This window comes from Homo sapiens, chromosome 6, assembly GCF_000001405.40.
Source record: "Homo sapiens chromosome 6, GRCh38.p14 Primary Assembly".
NCBI classification, from domain to species: domain Eukaryota; kingdom Metazoa; phylum Chordata; class Mammalia; order Primates; family Hominidae; genus Homo; species Homo sapiens.
The window spans coordinates 70,399,457-70,412,827 of NC_000006.12; positions in this window are offsets into that span (position 1 = coordinate 70,399,457).

Genomic DNA, 13,371 nt, shown 5'->3' on the forward strand with positions numbered 1-13,371 from the left:
CAGCAACCTACTTTGGGATTGAGAAAGTGGGAAATCTGAAGTGAAAGTCTATGGTGATTAAACAAAACTGAAAACTAAGCCACTCCTCTTCCATCTGGTAGAGAAATTGTGACCATATGCCCTTCTCTCCACTAAGAGGAAAGACCAGACTCACTGGTTCACTGGTATGTTTTCCTTATAGTAGACTGTGGTATGACAATGCCAAGTGATAAAACTTCTATGACACCCCTCTCTCCAGTTGATCCAAAGAACTTGGAGGGGAGGAAGAGGGGAGAGATGTGAGGAGACACAGCAAGTTAGGCACCTCTGCTTTTTCGCAGGAGCAAAAATAATAGGTTCTTATCTACTTGGAAGGTGAGGATACTACTAATTCATAAAACAACATGAACACAGTTAATTTTCTAAATGCCAAGACATAAAAAAAAAATAATCTTCTTTAGGAAAAAATTGTTTCTAAAATAAAATAATAAATTTGTATTGAATTCTTACTATGTAATAGGTGCTAAACCAAGCACCTTACATGCTTTTGCTCACAACAACTCCATAATGTTGCTGTTATTTCACCATTTTACTGATTTATTAGCCCATTTTCATACTGCTGATAAAGACATACCCAAGAGGGGGTAATTTATACAGGAAAAAGGGTTTAGTGGACTTACAGTTCCACATGGCTGGGGAGGCCTCACAATCATGGCAGAAGGCAAGGAGGAGCAAGTCACATCTTACATGAATGGCAGCAGGCAAAAAGAGAAAGCTGGCTGGGCACAGTGGCTCACACCTGTAATCCCAGCACTTTGGGAGGCTGAGGCAGGTGGATCATGAGGTCAGGAGTTTGAGACCAGCCTGACCAACATGGTGAAACCCTGTTTCTACTAAAAATACAAAAATTAGCTGGGCGTGGTGACAGGCTCCTATAATCCCAGCTACTCAGGAGGCTGAGGTAGGAGAATCGCTTGAACCTGGGAGACGGAGGTTGCAGTGAGCCGAGATCACACCATTGCACTCCAGCCTGGGTGACAGCGAAACGCCGTCTCAAAAAAAAAAAAAAAGAGAGAGAGAGCTTGTGCAAGGAAACTCCTGTTTTTAAAACCATCAGATCTCGTGAGACTTATTCACTATCATGAGAATAGCACGGGAAAGACCTATCCCCATGATTCATTTACCTCCCACTGGGTCCCTCCCACAAAATGTGGAAATAGTGGGAGTTACTATTCAAGATGAGATTTGGGTGGAGACACAGCCAAACCATATCAACAAATAAAGAAATTTAGGACAGTAACTGTCCCAGAGTTGCACAGCTGAGCCCAAATTTAGATGATTTCATTGCATTTGTTTTTAAGCACCAGACTATTAAATTAGGTTTTCTTATTTTTGAAGAGCCAGAACTAACGGCAAGTATGTTGTATTGCCTATATAGCAAGGAATTAAAAGAAAACTAATGTGACTAGCATGTAGCCTTACAATTAGTTTGTGTTTTATATGTATAATACATATATATAACATATCATATATACAATAACTTGTTTTGATATTAATTTTACCATTTTTTTTAAAAATCACATGATGAAACTTTCAAAGTAATTATTCCAAGACAATGAGAAATAACTGTATCAAAACATAGCTAAAATTCATAACATAGGCAGCATCAAGATTCAGTCCCAAAAGCAGAACCTACTGAAAGTTATAAAGTTAAAAAAAAAAAGACAGTATTCACATTTGACAAAGATGGGTTGTGGTGGCTCAAGTGTGCATTATTCTTATCTTTTCACATATGTTTAGAATATTTTACATAGAAATATATTTATAAAAACATGGATCATTACCTATGCAGAACTTCTGGCCATTATCCTTACCTTGATTATACCCTAGGGAACCTTATTTTCCAACTTTGTATGTGAGCTCATAGGGAAAACCAGAAATAATAAAAAGAATATATGCTAGGTAGAAGCCTGTCTGAAAACATAATCTTTTTCTGGGAAAATATAAAAGGACTATAGAGCAAGATGGTTTTTAACAACAAATTCTTTTAAAATACCATGTGATATAACTAAAAAGAAAAAAACTTCCAAATTGATTTGATCAGGTTTACAAATCTGATATCAACAGTTGACAAATGCCAAAACAAAACAAAAAAACCAAGGGAGACTACTTGAGGAAGAAGAGAAAGAAGTAAAAAGAAAGGAAAGGAAATTAAACAAAATAGCATTTATGGATATAGATGAAGTAATGTTAAATACAATCTGCCAAATCAAATTCAAAAATATATTAAGACTGGGAGTGGTGGCTCATGCCTATAATCCCAGCACTTTGGGAGGCCGAGGCAGGCAGATCCTTGAGTCCAGAAGTTCAAGACCAACCCAGGCCATAGGGTGAAACCCCATCTCTACAAAAAACACAAAAATTAGCCAGGCATGGTGGCACATGCCTGTAGTCCCTGCTACTTGGGAGGCTGAGGCAGGAGGATCAGTTTGAGCCCAGGATGCAAGTAGCCGAGATTGCGTTATTGCACTCCAGCCTGGGCGACAGAGCGAGACCCTGTCTCAAAACAAAAAACAAACAAACAAACAAAATATATATTAAAAGAAAAATCTGTTCCCACCAAGGAAATTTTACTCTCATGAAATTAAAGGACAGTTTAATCTAGAACACTAGACATAACCATGTGGCATTTATATGTCAAATGAGAAAATAAAAATAGATATCAAAAGGTACCTAATACATTAGGTACCTAATACATTCAATGCCAATTCCTCATTTTTAAAACACCCACAATATACTAGAAGTAGATAGATATCTCCCAAACATAATAAATAATATTATTTATTGTATTAGTCAAGGGAACACCAGCTGCTATAACTTATAAATTCTGTGGTTTAATAAAATATGTTGATTTCTTATTCCTCTGTTGTTCAACTAGTGGCAGTGTCAAGGAGGTGAGGAGAGCATAATTTCAGAGTGCGACGTGTGAGGTACTGTCTTCAAGATCAAGATACTCAGGCTGATGGAGCCTCTACCATCTTCAATACATAGTTTCTCAGGCTGCCCTGAGAATTAGCATCTAACCAGCAAACAGGGAACAAAAGGAGAATATACATGGGACATTTTAAGTGGCACTCATTACTTCCACTAACATCCCACTAATTAGAACTTCGTATATTGTTGCTTCTAACTGCAAAAAAGGCTGGGAAATGTAATCTCTCTGTGTACCAGAAGAAAAACTGGGTTTGGTCAACAGTTAGCCAGTTTCTGCTGAACCTATTCTACTGGTTATCACATAGTCTTTTATTCTTCTTCCTACACAAGCTAACCTCTTTCTCAAAAGAGACAATTCAAAATCCCAGCCAGTCACTATGTCCAGCTCAAAATACAGGATCTCCAAGTGATAATGATGTACAGTTCTTTCTCTATCTGATAAAAATGTGGCCTTATAGTTCAGCAACATATCAATTAAAATGATAAATTATCTGCCCATTTCCTTCCCCCCCACCCCCCCCACACACAGGAATATAGCACTTATTACCTTTTAATTTACTATATACCTATCTCCTTTGTTTGGTGTCACCTTCCACTAGAACTTAAACTCCATGATAGCAGATTTTTGCCTCCCCACCCTTCCATTGCTGTATTCTCAGTGTCTACAAGTAAATAATTGTTAAATATTTATTTACCTTGCCCAAAATAAGCATGTATTATTTTTACAGTAAAATTAATTTTAAACAGAAATGCAAATATCTTGGGAAGTGGTTAAGCATCATTCATACCTTGGTTTCAATTTCCCACATCTCACTGATAGAACTGAATCACCACTTTTGGAGCTGGGGTTTGTATAGGCAGGGAAAGAGAGTAGGATGGTGGAATGTAGGACTATGGAGAACTGAAACGGCATGAAGACACTGGTCTGCAAGAGACCAAAAAAGTGGAGTCAAGAGGTGAAAGACAGGATCAGAATGAAAGGTGAGAGAGTAACAAACTTTGGTTTGAGCCACAAGAGTAATTAATTAGTTAATTAACTGATTAGGAACTTGTAAACTCCTTCATTCAATAGTAACATATTGATTTTTATCTGCCAAAACTGTGATGAGTATTTGGGATTAAAAAATGAACAAGAGACAGAGCATGACCTCGAGAAACTCATATCTGGTTTTGGGGGACAAAATATCGTGAGTATATGAGTGTGATGAGGGAGATGTGAATGGAATGTTATGACAACACAGAAAGAAAGCAATTAAACAGGCCATGGCCAAGTGGCGGACAGATCCAAGAAAAGTTTCAGGAAGAAAGAACCTGAGTCTTAGAAGAGAGGATACCATTTGTGATGGTTTCAAGGCAAAGGAGAGAAAGGCATAATGCATTCAGAAGACTGGACTTTAGGGAGTGAGTAAGGGGGTTGGAGATGTTAGCAGGTGACAGATTGTGAAGGTTCATTCTTGTCCAGTTCTAATTCCTTTAAGCCACCAAGCTGTCCCTACACACACACACACACACACACACACACACACACACACACACACACTACATGAAGGGGAGTTCTACTCCTTACATATAACTCCTTTTCATTTTTAATCTGTCTCATTGTTTTGGTACTTTGGAAATACTCTTATCTAAATATCAACCTTGATGCCCACTGGAAAGCAATTGTAGTCCTCATCTCTGGAAAAGCTTCCTCAAGCCATCCTATTCATACTCTCCTCCTGGTTCCATTTGCTCCAGAACCCTTTATTTCCCTCTGCCAAAGTTACTTCCATCCCAGATGCAGACATTATAAGCCTTTATAAGCTTTGCTAAGACATGTGCACTTGAACCTAGACAGCCACCAAAGAATTTTAATCCTAAGCATGATAACATAATAAAATTTACATTTTATAAAAATCACTCAGCAGTGTAGAGGATGGCTTGGAAGGGCATAAACTGGTAGCAGAAGACATTTAGAGTAAACTAAAAAAAAATAAAGGCTGACATTATGCCTTGTTATTATCAGTAAAATAAAATATAGTTTTAGATAAATGACTGTTCATATCAGTCATAACAGAACATTCCAGTCCAGGTATGTTAAAGATCTGTTTGTTATTTGCCCTGTGGAGATAAAGGGAAAGGTGAGCAAATAATAGTATCTTCATTAGAATTTAAAAATCATCTAACATTAAATTTTATGCTCTCTGCCTACATGTAAGAAAGGCAAACTATTAATTTGTTTAAAGGATTCATTAAACTGATTTCAGAAAAGACATAATTTTATTACCCTTTATTTTACTTTATTTATCTTTATTTTACTGTGTCTAGCAAGACCAAAAATAATAAACTAACTCTTTAAAGATAAAAAAGATAAGTGGGTTATATCTGGATTTTTTTCCTAAAGGCTCAGAATTTTAATTAAGTATTATCTTAACATGTGTTCTTAATAAATTGTTTCATAAATGAGATAAGGTACATGAGAGTATAAAGTATATTTAATTGGAGCCTGCTTTGTGCAAAGCACTCTGGCAGATAGAAAGAAGAGTAAAAGATGTTCCCTGCCTCAAAGAAACTTTTATATAATATATATCCCAGAAACACTCAATTTAAGATTAATACCTTCTTAGCCAAGAGAGTATACATGAAGCGTTTGTGACTATCTCAAAAACACAAGCACGATAAACAAAATATTCAGCTTCTAGACTGACAGCTTGTAAAGAATTGAGCAGACCAAACTGGGCCCAAAATCTACTTCACTCATCCTCTCCTGCTTAATGAAATATCCTGAGAAAATATCAAACGCATATTGAAAGAAATGAAAGCAATAAACTAATTAGAACTGACAAGGTTATCTTAAAACAGGAGAATCACAGATGATGGAGACCATGACATTAGCATCTTTTTCACAACACAGAAGAAACTGAGGACTCAGGTGATTAATATGTCTTGCCTAGATTCATACAGTTTAGGGACAGCACTAGAGTTTGAATCCAATTCCCCAAATTATTAGTAGTCTTTTCATTTTACCACATTGACAGGTAGAAGAATAGACCTCCCCAAACAATATGAAATAGCAATTATTTTCTGCATTTAGATATAGTCCAGCCCAAGTCTTCTCTAATTTATAAAAATATCTTTGAGAGAAAGGAGAGTTTTTGAAAAAATATATTTTAATCTTTAATCCCTTCTACTTTGCTATTCTAATACCATGGTAAGGACAATCTAAAGTAAAAATTCTTTTTTCTTCTTCTTCTTTTTGGAGACAGAGTCTCACTCGCTCTGTCGCCCAGGCTGGAGTGAAGTGGCATGATCTCGGCTCACTTCAACCTCCATCTCCTGGGTTCAAGTGATTCTCATGCCTCAGCCTCCTGAGTAGCTGGGACTACAGTTGTGCATCACCACGCCTGGCTAACTTTTTGTATTTTTAGTAGAGATGGGGTTTTGCCATGTTGCCCAGGCTGGTCTCAAACTCCTGGGCTCAGGCAATCTGCCTGCCTCGGCCTCTCAAAGTGCTAGGATTACAGACATGAGGCACCACACCCTACCTAAAGTAAAAATTCTCTAAGAAATTGGAAGATACCCCTATTTTGATTCTAAGAGACTGGAAATCTGCGTTATCTAAGTCCCATGGCACTGTGCATGAGAAGGTAGAAGGAATCTTAGGCAGGGGTAGAAAGTGAGCCAAAGTGCCAAGACTGAAATATGATCGGTTTAGCTAAGGCAAAGGTTAAGATGGAAAGGTAGGTAGGTGCTAAATTGTGAAGGGCCTTTAAAAAAATCAAATGAAAAATACATATATGTATATGTAGATACATATATACGTGTATGTAGATACATATATACGTATATGTAGATACATATATATGTGTATGTAGATACATATATAGTGTATGTAGACACATATATGTGTATGTAGATACGTAGATACATGTATGTGTATAGAAAATACATACATATATGTAGATACATATGTAGATATATAGATATATATATGTTGATACATACATATATGTATGTATGTATACATATAATGTTTTTCTAGAAAAAGTCTATCAGGCGACGAAAGACAATAATGCCTGAGAAAGAAAATAAGAGAAGTTCTATAATTGCTCTAATTTACTGCATGGAGAAAGTGTCCATGTTGTGCATCAGGGAGAGGAACGCAGACAAAGCCTGGTGATCTCTGAGTTGAGAAAAACCTGGAAGTCAGAGGAGGCCATGGTAGGTAATGTTTGCAGGGTGGAGTAGAGGAGTGGTAACAGCTACATAGAGAATTCCAAAAATCTGCAGATCTCCCATGAATCTTCAGCTGGGTAATGAAAAGTGCATTTATGTACAAATTCCATCTGAAGCTGGGGGAAACACTTGAAAAGAATTATTTCAAACAATTCCAAGTGTTCATACAGGGTTGGATATAATGCCTCTTCCTACCAAAGAGAGTGGAAAATGTCATAATTCACAAGATATCATGGAATACTCACAGAGCTGTGCCTCATATTAGGGAAAAATTGACCCTAGACTAAATGCTGCTCTTGTCCCATGTACCAAAGCATAAAAGCAAGATCTGAAAGATTCAAACTGTTTCCAAGTGACTTAACTGCACCCCATGACAAGTTTAAGAATATTTATAGGAATACAAAAATGCCAAAAACCAGCAAAGCAAAATTTACAATGTTGGCCATTGAATCATAAATTATTTGGAATTCAAAGAAAGGGGAAAATATAACCCATCATAAGGGGAAAAACCCAACCCATTGACATTGACCCAGAAATGATAAAGGTGACAAGATAAGGATTCATGTACAAGGACATTAACAGTCATAATTATATCATATATTCAAGAAACTAGAGGAAACATTGAACATGTAAAATAGAAACATGGATAATACAAAAAAGACATAAAATTCTAGAGTTAAGGTCAGCAAACGTTATTTATAAAGAGTCAGAAAGTAAATATTTCAGGCTTTGCAGGCCACTTAAAGTATTCTTTCTTACGAAAACCTTTTAAAATGTAAAATCATTCCTAGCTCGTGGACTATACAAAAAAAGGGCCAAGGGATAATTGTCCATGGGTCATATTTTGCTACCTCCTGTTCTAGAGGGTAAATCTACAATGTCTGAAATGGAAAATACATTGAATATGATTAATAGCAGAGTAGGCAAGTAGAAGAAAAGTGAACTTGAAGACATAGCAATAGAAACTATTCAAAATGAAACACAGAGAACACAAAACACTAAAGAAAAAAGAACAGAGCTTGAGTAGGTTATAGGACTACTATAAGCTGTCTAATATATGCATAATTATAGTTCCCAAAGGAAATGAAAAATATTTGAAAATATAATGGCCGAAAATATTCCAAAATTTGGTGAAAAGTCTAAACCCATAGATCCATGAACCAACAAACCTGAAGCATAAAAAAAGTGAAGAAAATTATACCAGGGCACATTACGGTCAAACTGCTTTTTTAAACGAAGAAAAGATTTTAAAAGCAGACAGAAGGGAGAAAAAAAGCCACATTACACAACTAGGAATCAAAATAAAGGTAACAGCAGATTTCTTGTTGGAAACAATGCAAGAACACAGTGGAGCAGCATCTTTAAAACATTGGGAAAAAAAGTCACTCTAGAATTCTATGCCCTATGAAGATATCTTTCAAAAAGAAAGTTACAGTCATGACATTTTAAGACATGCAGAAGCAGAAAGTATACATCACTAGCACACCTACATTCTAAGAAGTGTTAAAGGTCAAGAACAAAACAATACCAGATGAGAATCTAAGTCAACACTAAAACATAAAGAGCACTGGAAATGATAACTATGTGGGAAAATACAAAAGAATTTATCACATATTTAAATGTCTTTTAAAAATAATTGACCATTTAAAGCAAAAAAATGCATTGTGAGGTTTATAACACATGTAGAAATAAAATGTATGACAACAGCACAAAGCATGGGAATGGAAAATGGAAGTATAGTGTTATAAGGTTTTTTAATACACGTAAGGTATGTAATACACTTGACATTGGATCATGGTAAGCAAAAACTGTATATGATAAACCTTCAAATAACCTCCGAAATACCATAAAAAGAGCAATTGCTAATAAGCCAACAAAGGAGATAAAATTGAATCATTAAAAAATATTAATGCAAAATAAGTTTAAAAAAGAATAAAAGAGGGGAAAAGAACAGATAGTGCAAATAGAAAACAAGCAACAACATGATACATTTAAACCAAAACATCCATAAATACATTAAATACAAGTGGTATAAACATATCAATTACAAGCCAGATTGAGACCTCCAAGAAATCCACTTTAAACATAAAGACAAAAGTAGGTTAAAAGTAAAAAGATAGGAAATTCTATATCATAGTAACATAAATCAAAATAAAGTTGAAATGATTGTATTAATACAATACTAAGTAGATTTCAGAGCAAAAAATTTCACTCGGGAAAATGAAGGCCATTTCATAATGGTGAATTATTCATATAAATTCATTGAGAGGACCTAACTATCCTAAACGAATATGCACTTAATAAAAGCGTGTCAAAATACATGAAGTAAACACACATAAAACTACAAAGAGAAATGGATAATGCCTACTGCGTTGAAATTTTGTTATAAGGAGCAGAAATAATGTATATTAAGACTAGCACTCAGCAGATGATAAAGGTTCAAGATGTTATCTACTGTTACTAGTATCAGAAAACTAAAAGATATTATAGTAGTTTATGCAATGCTTAAAGTTTTACTCAACTTTTTTTGTTTTTGCTGTAAAATGTAGATTTAAAATCTACAAATTACATTAATTTCCATTCACATTGTACCTTAAATCCTTTCTCCAGTCTCACCAGAAGAGATGTTCCTCTTTTTGTTCAAGTTTGACTTTTCCTTGGACTACAGAAGCATTTTGAAACAGACAAAATATTTTGAAAGAAAGGTCAGACAAGACATGGAAATGGAATGGACAGGAAACTAAAAAAAGGGAAGCATCAAATATAGCTGTGTTAGACATAAACATGGGAACAGTAGACGCTATGGACTACTAGAGGAGGAATGGAGGCAGTGGAGTGTGGGTTGAAAAACTACTTGCTGGGTACTATGCTCACTATCTGGGTACAATATACCCCTGTAACAAATCTGAACATACACCTTCTATATCTAAAATAGAAGTCGAAATTAAAATGTGTGTGTGTGTGTGTATATATATACACACGTATATATATATGTATATATATGTGTATATATATGTGTGTATGTACATATATATATAGTTGTGGAATAACTTTGACTATATCTCATTTTTAATTTTCAAATAATGACCATACTTACAACAGGAATATTTTAAAAATCATAAAGCCCAGTAAGGAAAAAGCCAGCTTAATTTTTTTTTTTAGTAAATTAATGTTTAGCATCTGACAAATATGAGACATCCTTCATGAGGCTATTTTCTTTTTCTTTCTTTCTTTTGTTTTTTTTTGAGATGCAGTCTTGCTCTGCCGCCCAGGCTGGAGTGCAGTGGTGCAATCTCGGCTCACTGCAACCTCTGCCTCCAGGATTCCAGTGATTCTCCTGCCTCAGCCTCCCAAGCAGCTGCGATTACAGGCACTCACCACCACGCCTGGCTAATTTTTGTGTTTTTGGTAGAGACAGGGTTTCACTATGTTGGCCAGGCTGGTGTCGAACTCCTAACCTCGTGATCCACCCGCCTAGGCCTCCCAAAGTGCTGGGATTACAGGCATGAGCCACTGCGCCCGGCCTTCATGAGGCTGTTTTCAAATTTACAATATTCATTTCTTCTACTGTCTCAATCTTTAGCTGAACCAATGTTGTGCAACCGAGAAAGGGAGAGATAACCTGATCTTTGGATTAAGAGAATACTCCACAGTTAGAAGGGTTTAGCAAACATTCAAAAACACTCCATGCCAAAGTTAAATTATGTAAACCAATTACAAGATAGAAAGGATTCCAAATCTTATATTCCTTGAGCACAACATAGATTGAAAAGGACACATATATAACATAAAATGTTAATGTACATTAAATGTGACACAAAACTGTTTATTAGCAGCATAATGGGTGACACCAAACTTGGGAAGATAAATATGGGAAGTAAATTTAGAATCAGGAAATTTCTAGACAAATTTCTAAAGGAATTCAAAGTCTATATAATGTGATTATCTTCTTATATTTGAGAGAAAACAGACCTAGAGAAGATAAGAGACTCTCAAGATAACACAGTATACTGTAGACTCTAGAATTAGAACCAGGTAATCTGACAATTAGATCAGTATGCTATACTCTCTAGTAGTCTGTACCTCAGTAGATGCCATAAATTTTCGTATTTCTTATTGTTTTTGTTGTTGTTGTTGCTGTTCGTTTTGGTTTTTTTTGCGATGGAGTCTCACTCTGTCACCCAGGCTGGAATGCAGTGGCACGATCTCGGCTCACTGCAACCTCCACCTCCCAGGTTCGAGTGATTCCCATGCCTCAGCCTCTGGAGTAGCTGGGATTACAGGCGCCTGCCACCACGCCCGGCAATTTTTTTATTTTTAGTAGAGATGGGGTTTCTCTACTAAACCCAGGCTGGTCTCAAATTCCTGACCTCAAGTGATCTGCCTGCCTCGGCTTCCCAAAATGCCGGGATTACAGGAGTGAGCCACCCCAGGTGAATTTTCTTATTTCTTTAAGAGATTATTTTATATTCTTCTATCAATAGATAATTACCAGGAAGTCCTGCTAAATCTCTAGGTTAGTTAAGTGCTCCTCTTCTGGGTTCCCAGACAACCCCGTACCTACCCCAATTTTAACTCTGTAGCAGAACTTGTTTTTTTTTTGTTTTTACATGCCTGTCTACCCCTGCTAGATTGCAAACTCTGAGATTTTAGACTGACCCTTAACTTTCATTATATCCCTCAGTAACTAGCACAGTATTTGGCAAATATCTAATAAGCTATATATATATATATAATGGTTGAACTGATTTGACTTTTTTTGAAGGCTCACCATGATCCTTGTCAACTTCTCCAGCCTCACATCCCTAAACAGTGGCATAGAAGTCTTAGTTTTAGTTCAGCACAAAGACCAGTTTCTTACTGTACAGCTTCTGTTCAAGCAATCCTTTTCCCTTTACTCCTCCCAACCGCCACCACAAGACATCCCACTTCAACTCTCTGGAATCATTTTCTCCTGGAAGTTTTTCCTGACCCATGACCTCTTCCCAAAGTTGGATTAATGCTTCTTCTGAGCTTCAATAGCTCTCTGTGCATTTATCTCTGCACTATACACATTACATCATAGGGTAATAATGCAAACACTCCACCCAAGTTCTTTTTCATTCATGTTGGTATCTTCCAAGATTAGCACACTGCCTGGCACACAGCAGATGAGTTAACAATGTGATTTGAATAAAAAGAACGTGGAACAGGGAAAGAATCTTGGCACACTGTGTGTTTTAGGGATGCACGGACGTGGAAATGCAAATAATTGGTTGTTTACTATATTTTCCTAAGACATGGCTGGAACTAAAAAAAAAACAGAAAAAGCCTTTCCAATTTTGAGGCTAAAGTTCAAGTCACAAAACAAGCAATAAAAGCCTGTTTAGCAAGGATAGTAAAATGGTATAGGGCTATAAAAGAAGGGACAAATTAGAAATCAGGAAAGCAGGCCATTCATACAAATGCAAATAAATTGGTTCACAGGATAAGAGGACACCCAATCATGTAAAAACTGGTACAAGCCAGGCACGGTGTCTTAGGCCTGTAATCCCAGCACTTTGGAAGGCCAAGGCGGGTGGATCACCTAAGGTCAGGAGTTCGAAACCAGCCTGACCAATATGGTGAGACCACGTCTCTACTAACAATACAAAAAGTAGTCAGGCGTGGTGGTGTGCGCCTGTAGTCCCAGCTACTAGGGAGGCTGAGACAGGAGAATTGCTTGAACTCCGGAGGCAGAGGTTGCAGTGAGCCGAGATCACATTACTGCACTCCCGCCTGGGCGACGGAGCAATGCTCTGTCTCACACACACACTCGAAAAAAAAAAAAACTGGTACAAAGATATATTCAAAACCTGTCCCCTAAATGGCCTACGTTACAAGACCTCACCATTACTTTCAAATGAATGCACAAAGCTTTTCCCTTCTAATTCATTCTTATTGTGGTAAAATATACATAACAGAAAATTTACCATTTTAACCATTTTTAAGTGCACAGTTCAGTAGCATTATGTCCATTCATTGTTGTGCAACCAACACCACTATCCATCCTAGATTCATTTTTAAAACAAGAGTCGCAGCTGAAATTTTCCTTTCATTAACTCAGCTTTAGCAACATACTGAACTTTATGCACCACAAAAGTTTTTGCCAGATAAGGTTCAGAAACAGGGAAGAGTGAAATAAATCAATGATCCTTCGTGGGC